Genomic DNA, 27,877 nt, shown 5'->3' on the forward strand with positions numbered 1-27,877 from the left:
GGTATGTTTGGCAGTGAAGGACCAGTTGAGTCATAGCTGCAAGTAACAACCCTGCAGTGGTCCCTATCTTGGCCGTTAGCTTACATTGACATTTAACACTCAAATTTACTCAGTAACACCAGCTATCATGTTTTCCACTAAAACTCCACAGCATTCTGGCAACTTTTCTATTTTAGAGCAATAAAGTAAATTGTTAGCATCCCTTTGACATATAAATATTTCTACAAATAGTAATTCTCTAGCCATTCATTTGGAGTATTTAAAACTCAACATTCATAGCACATTTTATGTGACAAAGAACTTATGTTCAGAACACAAAAATAAGTCTTATGTCTTCATTAAAAATGGGTGAAGAATTTGAACAAACATTTGCAAACTAAAATACAAATGAAATACACTCAACATCATTAATCATCAAGAAAATAAAATTATGAGATAATCCTAATAATCACTACATATGCACCACAGTGATTAAAATTTTTTTAAGTTAAGCCACGTGACCCAATAAGGTGCATTCACTCAAGAGAAACGCAAATATATGTCCACTCAAAGACTTGCACATGAATGTTGAGAGCAGGTTTATACTGAATAGTGCAATGTGAAAAAACCCCAAAATCTAGCAAAGAATGAAGGGAGAAATAAACTGTGGTATATACATACAATAGAACACTACTCAATAATAAAAAGGATTGTATTCCTGATACATGCAATATGGGTGAACCTTAAAAATATCATGCTGAGCAAGAGAAGCCAAACACAAGAGAACATGTTGTTATGATTTCACGTACATGAAACTTTAGTAAAGACAAGTCTAATCCATAGTGACAGAAAGCAAATGAGTAACTGCTGACAGGGCCAAATGAGGAGATGATCCCAAGGGAACCTTCTGGGGTAAGACGGTGTTCTGTATCTCAATCGTATTGGTGGTCACACAAGTGAAGACATGTTAGAACTCATCAAACCATACACTTAGAATGTGTAATATAAACCTCAATAAAGCAAAATTTAAAAAAAAAAACACCTTTAATTTTCTCTTACAAAAAAAAAAAGGAAAACCACTTAACTTTAATTTTTCTCCAACAACTGATTCTGGTACATAGTATACCTTACTGCCTGCATCCATGGCCTCACATCATGCTGTTTACATGAACGTAAAGCTTCACCGAAGAGTGGAATAAGACAGTCCTGCCAGAGAAAAACCAAAATTACTCAACGTAAAACAGGCTGTTGATACGTTTGCAGATATATAGCAAGTCTTAAGTCAAAGACTGCAATATAGTTTGGCTACTTCAGATTGATTGCAGTAGTTTTATCTATTACACTATACCCTTACATCATTTATCTTCTACTCACAAGAGGCAAGCACACAGTAAGAGAAAGCCTTTTGTTTTGAAGGGAAATCTTCTTCAGAATATTAAGTCTAATTTATCAATATACTTAATAAAGCACATTACAAAAAAAAAGTCACAGCACATTTACTATAAAGCAGACTGCAGAAAAACATTACAACTAATGCTTTATAATGAAGTTCTCGAAGATCATCATTCATTCAGAAGCCCCCATCTCTGGTTGAACTTTACCCCATTTAGGATGAAGAGGAGAGATCTTTGTTTGCAGCAAATCTAAAATTTACGTAATCTGCCTAAAGGAACTGTCTTTACATACACCACCTCCCACTCCAAAAATAGAAGAAAAAACTGAGCAATTTGCCATCCTTGCGATTATCTCAGGTTCTTCCATCTGCCCCATGTACTTCCCAAATGAAAGACTGCCTGAAAACAGCATGTTAGATTTCTGGATTTACCAGCTTGCCCAACTACAAATCCTATTTCAAAAAACTCAAAAAATAAGGTCTTTGTTCTACAGTAATGACCATTAATAGTCATAAGAATGTGCTTGTAAAAATATACAGACCTCTGTTTAAAGTCTGTTAGAAACTGTGTTCTCCAAAGCAGGTGAGCAATACAGCTGCAAGGTACTTAGAACTGGCAAAGACTGTGAAACTGTTAAAGTAGAAAGTCTCAGAGGTCCAACAGCGATGCGGGATGTTTGCTTCAAGTACTTTACCACATTTCTGAAACAAAATATTTACTGTCAATTAATAAAAATTACAATTCATAACCACTCAAAGAATAAAGCAATTGATAAGATGCTATCAAACTGACATCCAAAGTTAGGGGGCAGTAAGAGGAGCAGCCTGCTCTATAATAAAATGATATTAGCAAGTCAAGACATTTGCTTTTGGGGATTTTTACATTTTATTTCATTTCAACCTCAGTTTTTGTTGGCAAGCAGCATTCATATATCATATGACTTCTACAACTAAAATGAAGCTATTAGCACTAGTATTTAGTAATCTAGTAACTCTCCTTCCAGCCCTCTTCACCCCATGTATGTTTATCACATGATATACACAATGTACATTTATCTCCGTAAGAGTAACTTACTCAGTTATAGACTGCCACTTCTGATCTTGTTCTATCGGGTTTAAAGCAGTTGCCAAACAAACAGAACTTCTTAACAATTGAACTTCAATGGATTTCTGAGGTTCCCTTGGATCTGGACTTAACATGTTACGAAGCAGGTTTTTCATGTCTACAGAAGTTAAATGAAATGTCATTAATTAATGTGCTTTTATTATAAATTTTGATTTATGTTTGGCATTATTAAAAACTAATCACCAATGAACAGCTCCTTTAATATTTAAGGCAGTTAAACACTATAAGCATTACTGAGAGCTATATAAAAATCATACTTCATACAAAATTACTGTACCTCAGACCCCTAAAAAGCAGTTGCCTTCAAAGGCTCAAAAATCAGTAAGTCGAGGCCAGGCGTGGTGGCTCACGCCTGTAATCCCAGCACTTTGGGAGGCCAAGGTGGGTGGATCACGAAGTCAGGAGTTCAAGACCAGCCTGGCCAAGATGATGAAACCCCGTCTCTACTAAAAATACAAAAAATTAGCTGGGCACAGTGGCAGACACCTGTAATCCCAGCTACTCAGGAGGCTGAGGCAGGAGAATTGCTTGAACTCAGAGGACGGAGGTTGCAGTGAGCCAAAATCCCGCCACTGCACTCCAGCCTGGGCAACAGAGTGAGACTCTGTCTCAACAAAAAAGAAAATCAGTAAGTCAATCTACTATTTAAGGGAACAAATCTAGACCTGCATTAGCAAATCTTGCTCAATCCAGAATACTCATTAAACTTTTTAATAACATTTTATAAAGTGTTCCATTTGTGATAAAGAACTTAATGAGCCACATCAAGATGAAAATCAAGAAAAATATTTAGCTGAAACACTACTTTGTCCTTTATCAAACAAAATGGCTAGATAAATCTCAAAGCATTAAGGTGGTCATTTTTTTATTTGACTTAATTTTAAGTGCTTTTCATTTCCCAAATCAAACTTAAATAGGGCAGCCCTAAATTTGTTGCTTCACATGGGATTCTGCCCCCCAAAAATGTAAAATGACTTCCAGATTTTCCAGTAAAATATACTAAGCCAAACATTTTGAGCAACTTGTCCACTAAAATAACTTTAAAACTATTTTCTCAAATACCTACCTATTTTTTCTTTTGATCCTCCAGCAAGTAGATTGATATTTTCTCCTGGTAACAATTCTAATTGCTCAGTACATTCAACAAATTTTCCAGACTCGAAGCTGCTTAATGATCTGTAATTAAAATATTGGTTAGCTTGTATTCCTACGCAGCCTGTGGAACCATTAAAAAAAAACAAACAAACAAAAACAGAACAAATCCTAGGAAGACAGCAAAGTACACAGCATTTTTCTGACAAAATTCCTTCCACGAGGATGTCATTATTTTGGTTTTTATGTTGAAGATGTGACTACCACTTAATTAGTACTCAAATTGGAGTGGCAAACCAGAAAGTCACAGCTACAGACTTTCAGTAGAGCTGACTCGCCCCTGTGTCTCCTTCCTGTTTTCATGTGTTGCAGCCTGTTCTCTTCAGAGCCTAACACACTGACAGTAGACCTCTGCAGGACAACTTTGACACCCAGTTCTCTCCAAGCTGCCAGTGAGCTCCTTGTGCAGCCTCACTCCTCACCTACAGCATGAGCCCTTGCAGCTCTCCCAGCATCATAATCTTGTATCTCAGTCCTGGCTTCTTTCACTGCTGGCATCCCTCCATCTCTCCCTTTTTCACCTACTTTTCTTTTTTCAAAGAATTCTTCTCTTTCATCTGCTTTTATGAAAAATAATGACACCTCTGAAATTCTTTCCTGTAGTCCTGCAGCATCAATGCCAGGAAGACAGGCCTCATCCTCCCAGCTTCTATGCTGCTCCTTTCAGATCCCTTACCCTGTCCCCATTTTCATGACACGGGCTCTCCAGCCAGGAAGAAGACACTGTTTCTCACTCTCTCTCTTTTCCATCTTTGCCTGTCCCTCTCGCTGTGTAACTTCCCTTATAACTCAGCCTGAGGCCAGTGCTAGAAAGGCACATCACCTGACTTATTCTGTGCCTGATTCTACCTAGATCAGTGCAACCACTGGCTTCTCAGGGGGACCCTTGAGTACTGGGCACTGATGAACTGCTGCCAACACATTCGTCATTTCTGCCATTAAAAGGTCCTAAGTCCTCTCCAGTGACAGGTTCCTCAAGTCCCCACTATGCTCTATAATGCCCTATGCTTTCAGCTAATGACTCAGTCCTCAGAAAAACAAACAAATAAAAAAACACAGGCTTTAATTTCCTCTACCCCTACCCCCAATCCACCATACACTGCCAAAATTCTGTCTATACCAACTTTGACTGCTTTCCTTGAGGCAGAGAAAAGGTGAGGGCCAGTTAATCTATCAATGTTCTTTCTCCTGTTTCTTCAACCTCTGCTTTCTAGTGGCTCCTTCCCCTTGGCCAAAAGAACATAATCTCTCCAACATTTAAAATAAACATCTCATATCTCCCTCCAGCAATAGCTTCCTATCCTCGACTTCAAGAAAAACTCACTGACCAAATAACTTACCTCAAGCTTTTCATTTTCAAATGTCTCTACCACTCAATAGTATTCAATCTAGCTTCTTCTGTCTCTCTACAAAACTCTTTTTCCTTATAATCCCTAGAGCATCTGACAAGGCTGACTACTCCCATCTGGATGTCCTATATCTAGGACACTTCCCTTCTCAATGTCCCTGTATTTTTTTGAATGGCTTCCTCTTCTATACTTTCACAAAAATGCTAAACTAGGATTCTGACCCAGGCCTTCCTTCCTCTTCACTCACTATTCTCCAGAGGCTTCTCTCTGGTTTGGTTGCTTACAAAGGCTCTAGAGTATAGAGACTGAAAAGGAAACAGGGCCTTTTCTGTGTACTAATGATGTGCAAATCTCTCAAGCTTAGACTTTCTCCTTAGTTCAAAATCCAATTTTTTTTTTTTAATTGATCATTCTTGGGTGTTTCTCGCAGAGGGGGATTTGGCAGGGTCATAGGACAATAGTGGAGGGAAGGTCAGCAGATAAACAAGTGAACAAAGGTCTCTGGTTTTCCTAGGCAGAGTGTGTGTGTCCCTGGGTACTTGAGATTAGGGAATGGTGATGACTCTTAACGAGCATGCTGCCTTCAAGCATCTGTTTAACAAAGCACATCTTGCACCGCCCTTAATCCATTTAACCCTGAGTGGACACAGCACATGTTTCAGAGAGCACAGGGTTGGGGATAAGGTCATAGATCAACAGGATCCCAAGGCAGAAGAATTTTTCTTAGTACAGAACAAAATGAAAAGTCTCCCATGTCTACTTCTTTCTACACAGACACGGCAACCATCCGATTTCTCAATCTTTTCCCCACCTTTCCCCCTTTTCTATTCCACAAAACCGCCATTGTCATCATGGCCCGTTCTCAATGAGCTGTTGGGTACACCTCCCAGACGGGGTGGTGGCCGGGCAGAGGGGCTCCTCACTTCCCAGTAGGGGCGGCCGGGCAGAGGCGCCCCTCACCTCCTGGACGGGGCGGCTGGCCGGGCGGGGGGCTGACCCCCCTACCTCCCTCCCAGACAGGGCGGCTGGCCAGGCAGAGGGGCTCCTCACCTCCCAGACGGGGCGGCGGGGCAGAGGCGCTCCCATCTCAGACGATGGGCGGCCGGGCAGAGACGCTCCTCACTTCCTAGATGGGATGGCGGCCGGGCAGAGACACTCCTCACTTTCCAGACTGGGCAGCCAGGCAGAGGGGCTCCTCACATCCCAGACGATGGGCGGCCAGGCAGAGACGCTCCTCACTTCCCAGACGGGGTAGCGGCCGGGCAGAGGCTGCAATCTCGGCACTTTGGGGGGCCAAGACAGGCGGCTGGGAAGTGGAGGTTGTAGCCGAGATCACGCCACTGCACTCCAGCCTGGGCACCATTGAGCACTGAGTTAACAAGACTCCGTCTGCAATCCCGGCACCTCGGGAGGCCGAGGCTGGCGGATCACTCACGGTTAGGAGCTGGAGACCAGCCCGGCCAACACAGCGAAACCCCGTCTCCACCAAAAAAGTACGAAAACCCATCAGGTGTGGCGGCGCACGCCTGCAATCGCAGGCACTCGGCAGGCTGAGGCAGGAGAATCAGGCAGGGAGGTTGCAGTGAGCCGAGATGGCAGCAGCACAGTCCAGCTTCGGCTTGGCATGAGAGGGAGACCGTGGAAAGAGAGGGAGAGGGAGACCGTGGAAACCGTGGAAAGAGAGGGAGAGGGAGACCGTGGAAAGAGAGGGAGAGGGAGAGGAGGGAGAGGGAGAGGGAGAGGAGGGAGAGGGAGAGGGAGAGGGAGAGGAGGGAGAGGGAGAGGGAGAGCCAAAATCCAATTCTTAACAGCTTACCCAACAATCTCATCTGCACATTTCATTAGAAATCTTAAAACATAGCTTGTTCTCTGTGTGCTCCTACTCCAGTTAATAGCATTGTTTCTCTTCCCTCTACCATTGCCCCCACAAATTAATGGTCTCCATGCTTCCATACTTGCCCCTCACCTCCAGTCTCTTCACCATAGCAGAATGAACCACCAAGTCAGATCACAACACATCTCTGTTCAAATCCCACCTGAAATTTTCAGTCTTACTAGAATAACAGCCAAAGTTCTTTTCTCAGTTCCCAGCTACTTCTCTGCCCTTATATCCTACTGTTTAAGGTGCTCCTAAACACACAGGCCTCCCAGCTATTTCCAGAACACTCCAAGCCCATCATTCTCACATCAGGTCTAGGCCCAAAGGGCATCCTGATGGGCATGCCTTGACCTTGTGTCTTCCCTCCAAAGAAGGTCAGCTTTACCTAACTGCTTTCCTTATGGCACAGAAAAGGTGAGTGAGGTCCAATTAATCCTTCTATCAATAATCTTTATCTAATCTTTGCTTTAAAAGGTTGGAATTTGTGTCTGTTTTATGTGCTGCCTGGGTCATAGTATATGCTCAGTGAAGCAATTACACATTAACCCATTTAGCAGTAGAAAGCAAGGGTATCAGACAAAGTCTAATGACCTTTATCTTCCCAGCCAAGTGTCTGCAACAGAGTGAGTGCTCAGTTTTGAATTACAGAATTAATAAAAGCACAGAGGAATGAGAAGAAAGTTTAATTTACAGATGTTCACAAACTCTGTCCTCATTAGAATAAATGTTTTTGATATATTCAGACCTCATTTAGAAACAAAGCCATCAAATGTGATTCTTTCTAAATCAGTACAAATTTTTCCTTATATTCACTCTGGCATAATCTTCAAACTCTATTAAGGTTTTAGAATGACAGGTTCTGAAAATTAATACCAAATGACTATCTCAGCAGTGTTTTCCCATTATACAAATACCTTCCCTCATCTCTGATGTCAGTTTCCTGTTGTCATTTTCATAATGGCAGTAAGTTAGAAATATAACCATTTTGTATTACTACATATGACCAATTTTAATATTTTTTTGCCATAGGAAAAACATCATAGTTATTGGAAATTTGTTTTATAACTGGAAACAGAAAGCCTTACTTTATATAGTTGAATTCAGCTTTCAGGTTGAGGGAAGTGCTACTGGTACTCTTTTTCAAGTCATGGATAGCATTCTGCCATTCCTGCACAGCAGCGCAATCGGCAATTGAGATGTAGCACTCACACATGCTTTATTTCCTAAATAATTTATAACCTCAGGGGAAGAGTCAGTCGGTTTGGACAGCACAGTTTTTCTGGATTCACCTGAAAGTATTTTATAAAATAAGAAGAGATTCAGATCAATTAGAAATATTTCAAAGAGCACAGAAACCTAAAAACATGATAAGATCATCAGTACAAAATATATCACTATAACTTTTGCTTTATTTAAAAATACTGAACGCTCACCATTCAGACAATGTTTCGGGCTGGCACTGTTACACCCAGCATTGGCTAAGGTGAGCACCAATTTGTCAAAGCTGGAGATGCAGCAATCAACACCTGTCATGGCACACAGGTGCTCCTGGTACTCCACAGAGGCCTTTTCAAACCTGAAAAGCAAATTGAAGCAGTCTTATTTCTTTATTTATCTACTTACTTACTTTCTTTTTTGAGATGAAGTTTTGCTCTTCTTGCCCAGGCTGGAATGCAATGGCACTGTCTCAGCTCAATGCAACCTCTGCCTCCTGGGTACAAGTGATTCTCCTGCCTCAGCCTCCTGAGTAGCTGGGATTACAGGCACTCGCCACCATGCCCGGCTAATTTTCTTGTATTTTTAGTAGAGACGGGGTTTCACCATGTTGGCCAGGCTGGTCTTGAACTCCTGACCTCAGGTGATCCGCCTGCCTCGGCCTCCCGAAGTGCTGGGATTACAGGCATGAGCCACCGCGCCTGGCCTTTACTTACTTACTTACTTATTTTTTGAGACAGTCTTACTGTCACCCAGGCTGGAGGGCAGTGGCATGATCATGGCTCGCTGCAGCCTTGCCCTACCAGGCTCATGCAATCCTCCAACCTCAGCCTCCCAAGTAGCTGGGACTATAGGCACCCACCAACACACCTGGCTAAAACAAGGTTTTGCTCTGTTGGCCAGGGTGGTCTCAAACTCCTGGACTCAAGCGATCCGCTCACCTCAGTCTCCCCAAGTACTGGGATTTCAGGCATGAGCCACCGCGCCCAGCCCCAAAGGAGGCTGTTATTTTAAACACACATATCTCATTTCCCCCCCCCACAAAAAATGGTGCAAGAATAAACTGAGCTAAAACAGTGAGTTGACTATGGTGGGGGGAGGTTTGATGTCTTCCTCACAACTGTGAAACTAAATTTAAAAGTGGTTAAATGTTTTTAAAAAAATGTAAGAGTATAAAAGAACTAGTGGAAAATATTGATAAGTAACTGATGTCAGTGTGTGGAAAGGCTTTGTAGAAGGATAAAATGCAAGAAAAGATGCACAAGTAACAGATCTAGATGCATAATGCTGAAATACAACACTAAACATTAAAAACAAATTATAAATCAAGAAATTGGATAGCATCAACAATCTTAGTATTTAATAAAATTTCACAGATTAACACAGGAAAAATTGAGAGGCCATGAAGACATGATCCATGTTTTAAAAAATCACAAAAGGTCACTATATGGGGCAACTTCTACTATTAGTCATTAATAAATATAGAAATGTAAAGTACAATAACTATTTTCGCTGATGGTGGTGGCAGCATTCTTGTTTCTCAGTGACTCTCAGTATCCACAAAGATGAAGGGAAGGGGGTACTCTATTATTAAGGGTATACATTGCAGCCATCTTTTCTGTAGAGTAACTTACCAATAGAATATATTATAAGACTTATGGTTTGGCAGCCTTTCTTCTAGTAAATCAGTTTATGAGAATGGATTCCAAGAAAGTAATCAGAAATATAAGCAAAGATATTAAGTGCTATGGTACATTTAGTAAAAAAAAAAATCAGAAACAACCTTAATGCCCAACAGTAAGAAATATTAAATTATGGTACACTCATAAATACAAACCTTTATTAAAAATAACACTGTAGAATATTTAACATGGCAATTTTTTTTTTTTTGAGACAGAGTTTTGCTTTTGTTGCCCAGGCTAGAGGGCAGTGGCACAACCCGGGCTCACAGCAACCTCCGCCTCCCAGGTTCAACTGATTCTCCTGCCTCAGCCTCCCAAGTAGCTGGGATTACAGGCATGTGCCACCACACCCCACTAATATGTTTTGTATTTTTAGTAGAGACGGGGTTTCACCATGTTAGGCTAGTCTCAAACTCCTGACCTCAGGTGATCCACCTGCCTCGGCCTCCCAAAGTGCTGGGAATACAGATGTAAGCCACCGAACCCAGCCTACCTAACACGGAAAATTTTTTTTTTTTAAATATTGAGTGGGAAAAACAGATCATAAAACCATGTGCCTATGTACACTGATGTTTTGGTGAAGAATGGAGAAAACGACATGAAAGAAAAAAGAATTACAAAGCATATGGATATGGAAATATGGGACTACAAAAGGACACACAACAGAAGTTACTACAAAGATATGGAAGTATGAGCAGTTCTTTTATCTTCCTAAATTTGCAAGATTTCATTAAACTAACATAAATGGACACAGAATATTATGGTACAAGCTCCTCTACCTGGAGGAAGCAATGAGTCTGAATGTAGAGTTCACAGGACTAATGAGCAAATACTCTGACAATAAAGGGTAATTTGTATCAGACTCTGAGGGGGAAGGAGCTCAACTAGGGATCAAGTTCAAAAGCGTTTATAAAACAACTGACAGGTCTTGTTTTACAGTGTGATTTGCCACTAATTCTTAAATAAGAAAGGCACTCCAGTATTGCGGCTAACTAAAGAACAAACTGAAGATGCCTCCTGGTGAAGTGATTTATAGCAAGCTTCAATGCTGAAAGCAAACAAAGCTGTTTTAAGATTTGGCTACAATGTCAGTGAGTAATACAAAGAATTTAAACATAAAGTAATTCTGTCACCCATTTCCTTCCCTCCAACCTACCTCCCTTCAGCCTGTTGAGCCACTGAGTTAATCCACAGAAGATTTTTTCCAACAATAGATGATGACCAGACAGCAATTCCCTGTATAGCTTCAGGACAATGAAGTTCACATAGTGCTTCTACCACCATCATAATGGTTATTTCCAATTCATTCCCCTGAAAACGCATTCAGAAAAGTTAGTCACCCAATACCATTAAAACATAAATCCCTATAAAATTTACAACTGATCACAGTCTGTGCCTGCTTAAAGCCAAATGTATTTAACAATTATTTTCACAATTTTCACATTATTTAGCTCAGAATTCTTTAAAATTTTACATATAAAATAGCCACAAAGGGTGACTAACAGAACCTTAGCAGCACATGGATGTTTGTACCCCCACCCCAAAGTTACCCAAAAACATTTAACCTGTGACCTCTGTAGGAATAACACATGGAGTAAAAAGAAAGCAAAAATTAAATATAAATAAACAGGAATTAAGGAATGATTAACTTCATGTGTTTGAATACTGCTTGACATTACCTGAATTGCTAAACATTTTGTTATTTTTGGATTCCAGTTATTTATTGTGAGCCCACTTGCAAGCCAGGAATTACTCAAGCATTTGTCATACGTTATAAAAACAATTTCTCCTGGCCAGGTGCAGTGGCTCATGCCTGTAATCCCAGCACTTTGGAAGGCCGAGGTGGGCGGATCACTTGTGGCCAGGAGTTCGAGACCAGCCTGGCCAACATGGTGAAACCCTGTCTCTACTAAAAATACAAAACTTAGCCGGGTATGGTGGTGGGTGCCTGTAATCCCAGGGACTGAGGCAAGAAGAGGCTTGAACCCGAGAGGCGGAGCTTACAGTGAGCCGAGATCGCACAACTGCACTCCAGCCTGGGCGACAGAGTGAAACTGTGTCTCAAAAAAATAAATAAATAAATAAATAATTTCCCCCATAAACAAATTTTCAGAATTACCTTTAAAGTTCTAAACTTTGCACGTAAGAAATATAGTTTTAACGTGTTCTAACATGAATATTGTTTTAACATGAACAAAAACATGAACATTATTTTAACTTCTAACACTGTTTTAACATGAATAAAATAGGTAACTCTGGCAGTTGTTGCTTTTACAAAATACAGGATCAAAACCTTTGAAAATGAATCCAAGCTTTAACTTATTTTATCCATAGATTAAATCATACCAAAGGAATTAAACCATGTTTTTCTTATTAACAGACTTAAAATGAATTTCAAACACACCACTTTACCTGAGATAGGCTGGTTGTTTTCATCTCTGTAAGCAAGTCAAAGCCATGTCTCACTGTCACTGCAGGCTGGCCTGCCAACAATCCTACCCTCATGATGGAGAGTCGAATCCGCGTTAGCCAGTCCTGACAAGTTTGGCAACTGGTATAGAAAAAAGCTCTAATGACCTTTACGATAAGAGAAAGAAAAGCTCAGGACTGGTTCAATTTGTAGGTAAGGATGTCTCACCTATATATAAACCAAATACACAAGTCTATTGTGATTTCAGCTCTGCACATACTGCCAGCTGTGACCATTAAACTGCTATAAAACAACACTATCTCCCGGAAACCAACCTTGGGAGGTGAAGTTAATGCATTAGCACATCCCTCATATACATTATACATTAATTTCTCCAGATTTTCCAGATACTGCAGAAGAAGAACAAGTCTAAGTTGGTTGTTACCATGGCCTTCATCATTGTCTGCAGTTGTCCACTGACTAACATCCTGATCAGGGTTTAATGTGTGAGCTGCGAGACTTCGAATGATACCTGAAAGCAAAGACAACATTCTGAATTTTTAAAAATCTTAAAGTTCCTAGAATAAGTGTGAGTTTTTTATGACAAATTCACATTTATCAAGTATCCTCTGTCTACCCATCATTTAAAAATAAAAAATCCCAACATGAAAGATCTTTCATTTTAGGGGAAAAAATATATATATATTTTCCACACAACTCCCATAAGTTTTGGAAAAAAACCAAACATATTTCCAATGCAATTATTCAATGAAAGCTTATTCTAACAAACATACCTGAAAATTATTGACTTTTTTTCAAAAAAAATCATATACTCTCAAATCTTTAACAAAGATTTAAAAATCCATTATTTCTTAATAAGGCTTTGAAAGTATTCACATCACAAAGCTTGAGCGAGTTACCTTCAATTGTCTGGAAGGTGTCTTGAGCTCTGCCCAGTGGGGTTCTCAGCTTAGAAAGAACAGTGAATTGTGCAGCTTCCCATATGGCCCACTGCCAAAAGATAGCATCTGTCTTCAGGAGATTGCGTGGAATTGTTGACTGGTCACACTTATCCAGTCTCTGGCAGCTATAGAACAGTCTTTCCAACCAATTGTCCTTCCTGGGAAAAGTAGTTTCATATTTAAAAGACAATGACAACTTCATTTTAATAATGAAAAAAAAAATGCAAGGGGAATGGGAATACGGAACTGTAATTTTCCCTACTCCAAAAAAAGGCAAAACCTATGAAATTGAGAAGCATTATGTCCCCCCCTCTCATTTTGAGGTCTTTTATAGTTAACAGGATGAGGTACAGTGTGGAAGGATGATTAGGGTAAATGGCTCATGCCAGTCAGGAATGAAACTCATTCAATGCAACTAAGCATCTCTAGAATATCTCCACCCCCACCCCACTCCCCAAAGTGTTAATGACATCACATCAGTTAATTGTTAACCACATTTCATTACTCAATTTCAAAGCCCATTTTTGTTTCTACAGATGCTATCTTCAAAGCAATTTTCCTATTGATGAAAACTGAAATAACCCATATGAGAAGAATGTTACTTGATACTCTGCCACCCCCAAACATATTTTCTCTTCAAAACTGCATGTAAAGTCAAGGGAATCTTAAAATTATCTTTCCCAGATAAAATAGTCAAAGAAATGCCTTACCCTGTTCTATGAGAGTTCCCATACAAAATAAAACTAATAACATCAGAGAAATCTTGGGGGTGGAATGTATTACTTGGTGCTTTACTCATGTGACTTCTTAATGCTAAAGAAATTTCTTGAATTTCTGTGTGATTGTTATTGCTGTAGACAGAAAATAAAGTTGTTGTTATGCAAAATATTTTAGCTTAAAAGGTTAGCACCTACTGTAAGTGGATTATTTACTTATTAACTCACTGGAGGTAAAAATATAGTAAAATAGAGACTTTAAAATGGATACAGAGATGTGATTACAACTTTAGATCCTTTTTTTATTCACCTCAGATGGGTAATGTGCCGACATCATAAGAGGATTTGAGGGAGGCATATCAAACATGTGAACATAAAAACCCAATCATTATGCTTATGTATTACAAAAGGATCAAGTTTAGGCTCTTAAAAGCTCCCAAATCAACTTGATCAAAAACAATGAAAGATTACTGTTTAGTTTTTCAAATATCTGAGCTACTAAGAAACATATTTTGGCACTACATGAGTTATTCTATACTAATTATTGTGAGCCTATAAAGCTCATTAAAAATTTTTAATTTTCTTGCAGAACTGCAAAATTTGATTATTTGACATCACTTCAATCACTGGCAAGCAGGGCCATAAAAGATGTGTCATTAATGCTCTAATAGGTGATCTGTCTTCTCCTAAAGTAGACAACCAGTAGAGGCTGTAAATATAACAGAATGTCTTTGCTCCAAAACAACTGTTATACCTTAGGACAACATCTAAAGGAATTGATTTCAACAGTTTTCCAAATGCTTGTCGAATACGAGTTCCACGGTGCACTAGTTGAACACGGCAAACATCAACACATCTATGAAAGAACGAAATAGACAAAGCAGGTGTGTTAACATTTCCAGGTTATTAGGGTTAATGTCAAAAGACATGATCTTAATTTCATACCTCTGTAAAAGATCATCTGGCAAGGAAGAGGACAGAGCGTGTAGACTGCTGCATGCCTGCAGACAGATATTCACATCTTCAACGAGAGCTATTAAACATTAAAAGACAGTTACTTTCAGCTGGCCAAAAGAAATTATATCCCAGTTTGTCATAATTATCTGAATCCATTCATTCATTCAACAAAGAGTGAGTGCCTACTACAGACTAGGCACTGTTCTTGTCCAGAATCCTTATTGACTGTCACATTTGGAAAAATGACACATTCAACAAAACCCATGTAATGTAACTGATGGGTCATCACACAAACCTTTTTCTGAGAGAAAATGTAAAAGTATATGCAAAATATAAACATTCACATAAGCTTAAAAATGTGACAATCACTTCAAAACATTTTTCTAATACTAAGAATGAAAAAAATCAAGACTGTGTATCTGTCATTAAAATGAGGATTACACATCTTCAGGTCAGGAAAAGAGCTCGATTGATGACCATCTCCCATTACCAAAGACCCTTTTAAGGACTGATAAACAAAATAGAAAAAAAAAAAACAGAGTCTTACTGTTGGCTAAAAGGCCTTTGCAAAATTTATGGAAAGACGGAAGACAGAATAAAGGTGCATATGTTTCGGACTTCTTCATTAAAACAGCTACTTCCAAAGCCCAAGTCATTAACAGTTTCCTGAAACACAAAATATACAGTTGACTGTACACAAAAAAAACAACAACAAAAACAAAAAAACGTTAAAAGCCTAGTCTTCTTACATTGGTTTTCTCTTGGTTTTTCAAACATCTCAAACAATAAAAAATAAAAATAAAAAATGAAACTATAGAAATTACTGTCAAAATTGTTGTGTGCCTTTTAAGAAAACCTCCCAACGCAGCATAATAGCAAAGAGGCCGGGCATGGTGGCTTACCTGAGGTCAGGAGTTCAAGACCAGCCTGGCCAACAACATGGTGAAACACCATCTCTACTAAAAATACAAAAATTAGCTGGGTGTGGTGGCGGTCACCTGTAATCACGGCTACTTGGGAGGCTGAGGCAGGAGAATTGCTTGAACCTGGGAGGCAGAGGTTGCAGTGAGCAAAACTCCGTCTCAAAAAAAAAAAAAGCATAGAATATTAAAAATCTATATATATTCTTCTATGAAACACTGGGGGTGAGGGATTGAGGTTTTTCATGTATTTCTTTTCAGAAAGAATAAGAAAGCCTAGATTAAATAATAAAACCAAATTATAAGGTGTTTGACAATAAAGAAGCTGCTCTACCTCACCTCTATAATCCACATTTTTTTAAATGTTTTGTAATCCACATTTCTTATTCTCAAATTATAAAGGCAAATTAACAAAGTTAGGAATAGTTAATACTATATAATATCTGTTACCTCGTGTCCTGGTTAAGGTTATCTTTCTTAAGTAATATTCCCAGAAGATTTAACATAATTGAGAAATGTTTCTTTGTGGCCGTAGTTACAGTGCTAATCACAGCTCCATCAAACAAAGGAGGAGAGGAAGAACTGAGGCTACTAGAGATAAAGTGATCATGCCTGAAAGACAAAGCATAGATTATCTTTTCATCTTTAATCAAAGAAAGCAAGCAAGCCCAAAGTTAAATCAACATACATCTTTAAAATCTATCCATTAAAAAAATAAAATGTTTTGTGGGGTTCTTTTGTTAAGAAAAATTTGTGAATACAGTACCTGGTACAATGAGAATACAAAGTGTAGAGCACAGCATACTGAATGGTAGGGAAGTGAACAGCCAGGTCACTGTGCACAATCATCAGATTCTTACTCAGAAGTGCAAAGACAGTTGGAGATAGCGCCCACATCTGATCATGTACAAAACAAAGTAAGTTTATGGCTTCTCCAAAATAAGCACAAGCATACAGAGTTTATCCTTCAAAACAGGGGTATTTGGACATTTTTAAATTAAAATTACAGACTGGAAGGGATCTAGTACACTACACCTGGGACAAATACTCTTTTGTGAAGTCAGTAAAGCCTTTGCGTGCAATATAGCATCTCTATGCAATGCAGCAACTCCTCGTCTATCGCTACAGTAAGAAAACAGCCACAGGTCAGGTGTTGTGGCTCACACCTGTAATCCTAGCACTTTGGGAGGCTAAGGTGGGCAGATCACTTGAGCCCAGGAGTTTGAAACCAGCCTGGGCAACACAGCGGGACCGCATCTCTACTAAAATTACAAAAATTAGCTGGGCATGGTGGCGCACACTTGTAATCCCAGCTACTCAGGAGGCTGAGGCAGGAGAATTGCTTGAACTTGGGAGGCAGAGGTTGCAGTGACCCGATATCATACCAATGCACTCCAGCCTAGATGACAAAGTTAAGACTCTCTCTCTCAAAACAAAACAAAACACCAGCCACATACAAAACACAGGAATGAGAGTACCTGTGTTCCAAGAAAACTTTCTTGAGTCGGAGTCTCTCGCTCTGTTGCCCAGGCTGGAGTGCAATGGGGTGATCTCAGCTCACTGCAACCTCTACCTCTGGGGTTCAAGCAATTCTCCCTGCCTCAGTCTCCCAAGTAGCTGGGATTACAGGTGCCCATCACCACGCCCTGCTAACTTTTGTATTTTTTTAGTAGAGATAGGGTTTCACCATGTGGGCCAGGCTGGTCTTGAACTCCTGAGCTCGGGTGATCTGCCTGTCTCAGTCTCCTGAGGGATTACAGGCGTGAACCACTGCGCCCAGCCCGAGAACTTTCTTTACAAAAACAGGCACTAGTGTTGTGATGGTTGTACACTTCTGTGAATATACTAAAAATCAGTGAATTATACACTTAAAATAACAAACAAAAAACAGGTGCTGGGCTGTATTTGGCCCACGGACCATAGTTTGCTGATCTCTGATCTAAACAGAGCCCTTTGTATGTGCCTTTTGTGGAAGTAGACTGTATTTCCTCAATTTTCCATATACTGCAAATGGCAAGGTGCCCTGTTCAATAAGGAAACAAAGGCACACCCTGCCACTCTACACCTTTTCCATCCATCTTTTTCCTTTACACTGCCAAGACACTCCATTCCACCTGACTGCCCCATCCCCACCCACTTTCTCCTTATTTCTAGAGTACAGGACATAAACATCTTTGAATCTGTAAATAATGTGAATAATTTTCCTCAAAAATCAAGCTTTCATGTTTGAAGAAGAGTTTATTGTGACTTCAAACATAAGCTGTAACTGGTAATAAGCGAAGCAGCTATGGAATTATACAAGGCAATCCAATCAAACAACACGGAGCACATTGAAGCGCAAACATCAAATTTTACCTTCTTCCTCCTAAAAACTTTATTCCCTAATTACATCCATTACTTTCTTTCTTTGTTTCTTTCTTTTTTTTTTTTTTTCTTTTGAGACAGAGTCTGGTTCTGTAGCCCAGGCTGGAGTGCGGTGGTGTGATCTCAGCTCACTGCAACCTCCACTTCCTGGGTTCAAGCAATTCTCCTACCTCAGCCTCCAAAGTAGCTAGGATTACAGCTGTGCACCACCACCCCTGGCTAATTTTTCTATTTTTAGTAGAGGTGAGCTTTCACCATGTTGGCCAGGTTGGTCTCAAACTCCTGACCACAAGTGATCAGCCCGACTTGGCCTTCCAGAGTGCTGGGTTTACAGGTGTCAGCAACCATGCCCAGCCTACACCTATTATTTTCTATTAAAAATAATGTTTTTCAACTCTGTGTGGTCCAATAGGAAGAAGAAATACACAAACCATAAACAATAAATACAAATCAAGAGCAGGGCCACGTCAAATTACTTAAAAAAAAAACACACACAGGCTGGGCGCGGTGGCTCATGCCTGTAATTCCAGCACTTTGGGAGGCTGAAGCGGGTGGATCACCTGAGGTCAGGAGTTTGAGACCAGCCTGGCCAACATGGTGAAATCAAGTCTCTACTAAAAATACAAAAATTAGCCCGTCATAGTGGCAGGTGTCTGTATCTCAGCTACTCGGGAGGCTGAGGCAGGAGAATTGCTGGAACCCGGGAGGCAGAGGTGGCAGTGAGCCGAGATTGCACCACTGCACTCCAGCCCAGGTGACAACAGCATGACTCTGTCTCCAAAAAAAAAAAAAAAAATTCCCCCCCCCCCAAAAGAAAGACTAAAGGTTGAGTATCCCTTATTCAAAATGCTTGGGACCAGAAGTCTTTCAGACTTTGTATATGTTTGGATTTGAGAATACCTGCATATATATAAAATGAGATATGTGGGGGATGGGACCCAAGTCTAAACACGAAATTCACTTATGTTTCATAGACACCTTCTATTCATAGCCTGAAGATCATTTTATGCAATATTTTAAATAATTTTGTGCATACAACAGTTTGGACTCATCACATGAGGTCGGGTTTGGGGTTTTCCACTTGGGGCATCATACTGGTGCTCAAAAAGTTTCAAATTTTGGAGCATTTTAGATTTAGGATTTTCAGATTAGGGATGCTCACCAGTAAGTGTTATGAAAATATTCCAAAATCCGGCTGGGCATGGTGGTGCTCACCTGTAATCCCAGCATTTTTGGAGGCCAAGGCAGGTGGATCACCTGAGGTCAGGAGTTCACAACCAGCCTGGCTAACATGGTGAAAACCCATCTCTATTAAATACAAAAAAATTAGCCAGGCGTGGTGGCGCATGCCTGTAATCCGAGCTACTTGGGAGGCTGAAACAGGAGAATCGCTTGTACCTGGGAGGCGGAGGTTGCAGCGAGCCAAGATCGCACCATTGCACTTCAGCCTGGGCAACAAGAGTAAAACACTATCTCCAAAAAAAAAAAAGTATTCCAAAATCCAAAATCAAAAACACTTCCAGTCCCAAGTATTTCAGATAAGGAATATTCAACCTGTATGAATGTTTCTAGGGAAAAAGAGACAGCCAAAATATAAGACCATGTATAAGAACTAACTTCAGTAGACAGAAAGAAAAAAGTACCAGGGGAAGAAGAAAGAGACCGCATTTTAAAACAACTATACAAATTTGAGCTGTAAGAAACACTGACATTTTCTATAAGCATGCTAGAGCAAACAGGAGAAATTCATAAGACATTTTCTAGAAAATAAAACTAATATAAAAAAACTTATCAAGATTTGTCAAGGAAAAAGAAGAAAAGTTAAATATAATGGCAAGAAAACATTCCTACCAATTTTATTTATCCAGGCATGTCTTAAATATGGCTGTTTGTTACATGGAGAAACCTTAAATGCATACTGGTAAGTGAAAGAAGCCAATTGAAAAGGCTACATACTATATGACTCCAACTACATGGCATTCTGGAAAAAGCAAAATGATGGAGACAGTAAAAAGATCAGGGGTTGCCATGGGCTTAAGATGGAGGGAGGGAGGAGTGGGGAGAGGGAATGAGGAAGGAGTGGGTAGAACATAAAAGATTTTTAGGGAAGTGAAACTATCCTGTATGATACTGGTAATAGGGGATACATGTCATTACACATGTTAAAGTCCATAGAATACATAACACAAAGTAAACTATGAAATTAGTTAATAATAATATATCAATATTCACTCCTTTGTAATAAATGTACCACACTAACACAATATGTTAATGAGGGGGAAACTGTTGGGATGAAGAAGGTATATGGGAACTCATTGTTTTCTGCTCAATTTTCTGTATATCTAAAAAATAAAGTCTTTTAATTTAGAAAAATATATCTAAGCTATATTTTAAGGCCTTAATACTGTGACATTAAAGTGTTTAGACACCTAAATAGGACACACTTATTTTACAGTTATCATGGGCATTTTTTCACATTAGCAAAGAGAGGTGTAATTCTGGCAGAAATGCTCAGCAGAATGTCATCTAGAATTTGCTTTAAAATAAGCCAGTTAGAGATGAAAGGATAGCAAAGAGGCCTAGATGAAACCAGATGGGCCGTTTGCTTCTAATTATAGAAGCTGAGTGTTAAATATGTACAAATTTATTATACTATGCTCCCTATTTTTATGTGCTTCAGAATGTCCATAATAAAAGTGGGGGGAGGATATTTATGGTTAAGAAATTAAAGGAGGCCAGCCGGGCACGGTGGCTCACGCCTGTAATCCCAGCACTTTGGGAGGCCAAGGCAGGCAGATCACGAGGTCAGGAGATCGAGACCATCCTGGCTAACATGGTGAAACCCCGTCTCTACTAAAAATACAATTGTGCCACTGCACTCCAGCCTGGGCGAAAGAGTGAGACTCCGTCTCAAAAAAAAAAAAAAAAAAAAAGAAATTAAAGGAGACCAGGCATGACTGCTCACACCTGTAATCCCAGCACTTTGGGAGGGCAAGGCAGGAGGATTACTTGAGACCAAGAATTCAAGTCCAGCCTAGACAATGCAGTGAGACCCCTTCTCTCCAAAAAATACAAAGGTTAGCCAGGCATGGTGGCATGCATCTGTAGTCCCAGATAGTCGGGAGGCTGAGTGGGAGGATCACTTGAGCCCAGGAGTTTGAGGCTGCAGTGAGCTCTGATTGTACCGCTGCACTCCAGCCAGGGGAATATAGCAAGATCCTGTGACCAAAAAAAAAAAAAAAAGAAAAGAAAGAAAAGAAAAGCAAAAAACAAAGAATCTGGTGCGTAGAGCAATGTTTCCTCAGAAAAAACGAGTAAAGCTACACTGAGACTAGCTATCAACCACTAAAAATAGAGGCCTGGCAGAGTGGCTCATGCCTATAATCCCAGTACTTTGGGAGGCCAAGGCAGGTGGATTTCTTGAGCCCAAGAATTCAAGACCAGCCTGGGCAACATGGCAAAACTCCATCTCTACAAAATAATATAAAAAATTAGCCAGGTGTGGTGGTGCACGCCTGTAGTCCTAGCTACCTGGGGGGCTGAGGTGGGAGGATCACCTGAACCCAAGAGGTCAAGGCTACAGTGAGCCAAAATCATGCCACTGCACTTCATCTTGTGCAACAGAGTGAGACCCTGTCTCAAAAAAAAATTGCATTAAAAATAAAAGTAAATAGACACTAAAATGAAGGCATAGATTATAAGACTGATGAATGTACTCTAAAAAAATAATATAATAAAGCAAAGCCCTTATGTTTTTTCTTTTTTGGAGACAGGGCCTTTTTTGTCACCTTGGCTGAGTGCAGTGGCACAATCAGAGCTCACTTCAACCTCAAGTTCCTGGGCTTAATCGATCCTCCTCCCTCAGCCTCCCGAGTAGCTAGGACTGCAGGTGCACACCACTACACCAAGCTAATTTTTGACTTTTTGTACAGATGGGGTCTCACTACATTGCCCAAGCTGTGCCAGAATTCCTGGATGCCAGCAATCCTTCTGCTTTGGCCTCCCAAAGTGCTGGGATTACAAGCATAAGCCACCATACCCAGACAAAGCCCTTAATTTCTTACATATCGATTTAAGGGCCTGAATAAACCAACACATTAAAAAGGAAAAGAATAATTCACATACCAGCATGAGTAAATTCAAGACTGAGATGATATAATCGGTACCACAAGTCTGGCAATTCTCCAGTTGGTCTAATCCATATGTAATGACCATGTCACAATGTATAGTCATGCTAGGATCCAAGCTGCCGAGCAAAACACCAACACACTCATTAGCAGCTGTCAACACAGCCTCAGAAAAAAACACCTGGTTTGCAGCCGTCACACATCTCATTACTCTGTACAGAATCTGTAAATGGGGAAAACAAGCAGCTTTTTAAAAAAATTCACGTGCTTCCACAAAGCAAGGAAATACTTTTTATTTAATGCAATTTCAACTGAAAATTAACTGCTTGCCTTGCCAGCAGTCTCTTAATATTCTAGTTCTCAGTAGCTGAATAATGATACCTTTACTACAATATGTAAACATGATCTTGGCTAAAAAATCCTAAAGTGCTACTATGACAGGAAATGGAATCTGCCATCCTCTATTTCCCATATACCCAACTTCGTTTCTCCCAATGTCACTAAATGGCTGAAGCTCAGAATCTTTATCATGAAATACACCACGACAGTAATGGTATTGACAGCATGGGAATAGCCTGCCCACACATACTACAAGCTAGCTCTTGGGCTTTTGGGAATCAATCTTTCAAAACTGAACATACAAGTCACTTTAAGCTTATTAAACTTTCTATCTACTGATGGTCTCTTTTGAAAGATAAGCACTCTCATGCTTACCACATAGTATCTTCAAAAATCATATGATTTCCAATACACACACAAACAAAATCCCCCACTTAACTATAATGGCCAATAATTGTGTACTAAATTTCTAATAAAATAGGGGAGAAAACAGAGCAAATGTTAAAAAATACTTCTATAATATTTAACAACCAATACATACAGGATTTTATTTAGTCTACCCATAATTTTCATTAAAAGTATCCTTGGAGGTTGGGCATAGTGACTCACATCTATCATCCTAGCACTTTGAGAGGATTAGCTGGAAGGTTCTCTTGAGTCCAGGAGTTTAAGACCAGCCATGTCAACATAACAACACCTCATCTCTACCAAATTTGTTTTTAAATTGGTTGGGCGTGGTGGCTCACACCAGTAGTCCCACCAACTACTTGAGAGGCTGAGGTGGGAGGATCACTTAAGCCTGGGAAGTCAAGGCTGCAGTGAGCCAAGATCGTGCCACTGCACTCCAGCCTGGGCAACAGAGACCAGTGGCTCATGTCTATAATCCCAACACTTTGGGAGGCTGAGGTGGGAAGACTGCTTGAGGCCAAAAGTTCAAGACCAGCCTGGGAAACACTGAGACGCCATCTCTACAAAAATAAAAAATTAGCAGGAGCTATGGTGGGAGGATCACTTGAGCCCAAGAGATAGAGGCTGCACTGAGTCGTGATGGCACCACCCCACTTTAAAAAGAAAAAAAAAAGAGCTGGGTATGGTGACACCCGCTTGTAGGGCTGAGTGAGGTGGGAAGTTCACCTGGGCCCAAGAGTTCAAGACTACAGTGAGCTATGATTGCACTACTACACTCCAGCCTGGGTGAGAGAGTGAGGCTCCAGCTCCAAAAATAAATAAAAATAAAATAAAAAAATAAAAACCCCACCATTCTACCATTCTCAAAGGCCTAAAAGATCCTCATAAATCAATATACACCTATCCTATAAATTATGTCCCTTTTATTTTATGTCTGAATTAACAGCTTTTTATTTCAACTCTGTACAGTCTTCAAACAACCACCTTTTAGACATTAAAAATGAAGCAAAGATATTAAACCATTTTGAAACCATATTGGTTTAAAATACCGATATGCTGGTTTCATTTATCTTTAAGTTCTGACATTTCTGCTCAAGTACACAACTTACTATATAATCAATATCCTATTTTATTTAGCAACATGTTCAGCAAAAGTATATGCTCCTAAAAGCAAGTTTTATCCTAACGGTAAAATTTTCATCAGTTAGATTAAATTTTTTATGACTGTATCACACATGCTTCTTTCTCCTTATTCACAGCCGAGTACAATGCCTGGGGTTCATTTCTTGTGTCTTTTCCACTGAACCCTCATTGGATGTGCTATATACAGTGCAGCTAATGTTTGAGGCTGCTGAAGTGTGGCAATCTATCTACCTCATTTTTAATTTGTTTATGTTCTTTGATATCAGGCTATCAAAGAATATAAAGATATACAAGTTTTCATATGAGTTCCATCTTATGCTCAGAGAAGATTACTTTCTGAGGCTTCTCCTATAGTGTGCTATTCGTAATATGTTGAAAAACTAAAAGGAAACCCAATAATTTAAAAGTAAAATTATAAGAAATATTATTTAAAAATGAAAGAATAAGATTTAAAAATTCAGAGTGGCCTTTTGTCATGGGAGGGTAGGGAAGTTGGATGAAAGGAGGATGAGATATAAAAGGATTCCCTGCTTTTCTGGTTATTTAAGAAAGCAGTCAGACAATATATACATATACACATACATACATACATGCTAAACAAATGAAGGATTAATAACAGTTCACCTGGTAAAGAGAAGCATTTACAATGTAAAACAATTTTATTTTTGAATGACACTTCAAATGCCCAAAAGCACTTACATCTGTTACGTATGCCTCAGTAATCGGAGGACCCGAATTGGGCTGAAGCGTTCCCCAATGCTCCTCACCACAGTACTAAATACCCGGAGAAGCGCAGTCAGCTTTGGTAATGACACTGATGGAGGAGGGACGTCTTCATCCACTGATTCCCCAGAGGCCACATGGCTGAGGTCCTAGATGTGAATTCACAGCATTCTTAATAAGTAGTACATTGTTTAAAAAAAAAAAAACTCTAAAATATTTCAATCAATTCATTTTAGAATAGATTTTTAGGCTTTTAGAAAGAGAACTGTGGCCCATGAGAATATTCATGACTCTGAATATAAAAATGGGTTTTACCTAATTATTTCAAAAAGCCAACATTAAACCCAATAGACAACAAATTAAGGAAATAATCTCTTAAATCAACTCAGAAAGCTGTTGGGGAAAAATAAATTCTAGCACATATGCTCTAGTTATATGTAGGTATAAATGAAGACGGAAGCTTTTGCCACTCCTGAATTAGTTTTTGGCTAAAAATCTCATTCTAGGTATTCTTTGAGCCACTCAGCTCAACAGTAAGTCCTCCAAACCAAGAGCATGCACATGAAGAGCAAAGGGAGATTACAAGACCTGGTCTACAGATGTGTAACTGAAGAAGTACGATATATGAAAAGGACAAGATTCGCAAAAACTAGGATACTAGAACCAATCTATACATTTACCTAAAATTAAGCACCAAAATAACAGAAGAGAATGAGATCTTAAGGATAACAAGGGGAAGCATCTCTACAAACTAGAATGTGTGGCTTATGAGAGGTAGATCAGCTTTAAACGTGGGCTGTGAAAAAAGACATTCTAGGTGTGGGGGCAAAGAAAAAACAACACAGAAGCAAAACATTTCCTTGCTTTTCTAGGAAAGAGTAAACACATCAGTACAGCTAAAGGTACTGAATTCCTGTTGACTACAAGCAGCAAAGATGATAAAAACAAGATGAGGCCAAAATCTTTATGGGAGCCTTGATTGGTTGATCTGAATAGGGGAGAAACACAAAGAGATTCAGATAAGAGATAGCACAGAGTTAAGCCATGACAGTGGGGCCAGAAAAGCCAAGTACCAGTAACAGAGGCTTCAGCAGTGCTCTTAAAGCTCCTATGCTATATTCGTACAGCCACAAAAGCTGGCTGAAGCCAAGGCCTGTCCTCCAAAGTACGATTCAGATCTCCCGTACATATGTAAGAGGAAAATCTTTAGGAGCTTTTGGTGTTTTGTGTTTTTTTATAACACAACATCAATTTGCTTTAAGACTCTGAAGACTGGGAACAAAAAATAAAAATAAATAACAAAAAATGTCTTTAGAAAAATACCAGCTACCAAGAGTATGTAAAGCTTTGCGAAATACGAAGCTTGCAACGTTTCTTTTAGTCTCTCCAGTAATTCTCCTGGTAACTTAAATACATCTGAAATAAATGTTTAAAATACTGACTGAGCACGGGGGCTCATGCCTATAATCCCAGCATTTGGGAGGCCGACGCGGGTGGATCACCAGTGGTCAGGAGTTTGAGACCAGCCTGGCCAACATGGTGAAACCCCGTCTCTACTAAAAATACAAAAATTAGCTGGGCATAGTGGCGGGCACCTGTAATTCCAGCTACTCAGGAGGCTGAGGCAGGAGAATCATTTGAACCCAGGAGGTGGAGGTTGCAGTGAGCTGAGATCGTGCCATTGCACTCCAGCCTGAGTGACAGAGTGAGACTCCGTCTCAAAAAAAAATTTTTTTTTCAAAATATTGCAATGGGCTTGTAATTTCTGCTTAAATGTCAGGAGGTCTGAGCCATTTTAAAATAAATCTAGCACAATTTAAGATTTTTTCTTAACCAAAATTTTAAGAAACAGCTTTCTATATACTCACCTCAGCATATGCTTCCATGTCTTCTAGAAAATGACCAAGAAGAGTCGTAGAAAATGCAAGATCAGCTACCCAAAATGGCTCCAAACTCTGCAACCACCCTTGGAATCGTATAAGAAATTGTGAAAGGGTGGGGGGAGAAAAAACACCAAAAAATCCAAATTAAAAAAATATAAGAGGCTTGTTTTAAAAAGTATCCGGTTTTCAAGCAGCATACCCTAAAACATGTCCTATATCATAAAATTAAGACTGCTAAACATGCTGATCACGATTAACCAATACCTCTTTAATTAATACCTCTTTAATTTCTGCAAAAATTAACATGTAAATGTTATTTCCTTACTTTTTCAGTAAATTTCCTATCTATATTGTCACTACACATGACTTAACACTAAAATGCCACAATCTACCATTGGCCTGGCTAATCCCAGGGCCACATCTAACCATTAAAGGTGTATACTTATCTCCTCAGTGAAAATGAAACAGACCACTATCACCTGAATATCCTATTTTCAAAAGTTTATTACACCAAGTAAGTTACGAGAAACTATGACACTTGAAACAAGCTGAAATGTGCAAATGAGCCATGCTAGTCATTCACTTAACTCCAAAAAAATGGGAAACAAAACCATTTCTCATTTATGACAATTCTCCAAATTAACCCTATTTCCTTTTTTAAAAAAATAACCAGAAAAACAATAAAATGTTACAAATAACTTGGATCTTCCATTGTCCACTTCAGGGTATTGCCACTGCAATATATTCTTACCATATACTTTTTCCTACCAGTACAAACTACAAATAACTTGGGTAAGTCCTGTCTGTACTTATTCTACCCACCTACTAGTAATTTCTTCTGAAAATATATATTTAGCTAACAAGTAATGTTCATTTACAATATAACATTTCTCTGAATTAGTTTTCTTGCATTATTAAAGAAATGTTATTGATAGATGGTCACTGGGGGACCACTGCTCCTCCCCGACAGTATTTAAATAACTGGTATAGGCTGCAAGACTTACCAGATACCTGCTGCGTGAGCGAAGGTTTCTGAGTATGATCTATATGCCATCCAACTAATATATCAACTGTATCCTTGATGGAAACAAAGAGAGAGGGGGCCAATCATTTTAAGATATTACTGCCATTCACCTGTGGACCATTCCAC

The 27,877-nt window shown here is 39.5% G+C and overlaps 1 non-coding gene and 1 pseudogene across 3 annotated transcripts; both read right to left on the reverse strand.

Annotated features, from left to right (window-relative positions):
- Nucleotides 1-774: 774 nt before the first annotated feature.
- On the reverse strand, nucleotides 775-27,811 carry SMG1P7 (SMG1 pseudogene 7; annotated as a pseudogene). Of its 2 annotated transcripts, NR_171688.1 has the most exons (21): nucleotides 27,732-27,811; nucleotides 26,713-26,810; nucleotides 24,821-24,993; nucleotides 22,230-22,454; nucleotides 16,507-16,637; nucleotides 16,191-16,352; nucleotides 15,368-15,486; nucleotides 14,809-14,896; nucleotides 14,618-14,719; nucleotides 13,858-13,998; nucleotides 13,106-13,305; nucleotides 12,631-12,717; nucleotides 12,188-12,352; nucleotides 10,932-11,086; nucleotides 8,312-8,454; nucleotides 7,964-8,167; nucleotides 6,050-6,305; nucleotides 3,565-3,674; nucleotides 2,448-2,595; nucleotides 1,915-2,074; nucleotides 1,005-1,185 (listed from the first exon to the last, which is right to left on the reverse strand). The product of NR_171688.1 is annotated as an SMG1 pseudogene 7, transcript variant 2 (transcript). The 2 variants fall into 2 exon arrangements; NR_033959.1 differs by lacking the exons at nucleotides 7,964-8,167; nucleotides 8,312-8,454; nucleotides 10,932-11,086; ... (11 more) ...; nucleotides 26,713-26,810; nucleotides 27,732-27,811 and adding an exon at nucleotides 775-989 and having other exon boundaries at nucleotides 1,106-1,185; nucleotides 6,050-7,227.
- On the reverse strand, nucleotides 14,173-14,276 carry LOC124903795 (small nucleolar RNA U13). The gene has a single exon (XR_007065240.1). It is a non-coding gene; the product is annotated as a small nucleolar RNA U13 (small nucleolar RNA).
- Nucleotides 27,812-27,877: the final 66 nt, after the last annotated feature.

This window comes from Homo sapiens, chromosome 16, assembly GCF_000001405.40.
Source record: "Homo sapiens chromosome 16, GRCh38.p14 Primary Assembly".
Lineage (NCBI taxonomy): Eukaryota > Metazoa > Chordata > Mammalia > Primates > Hominidae > Homo > Homo sapiens.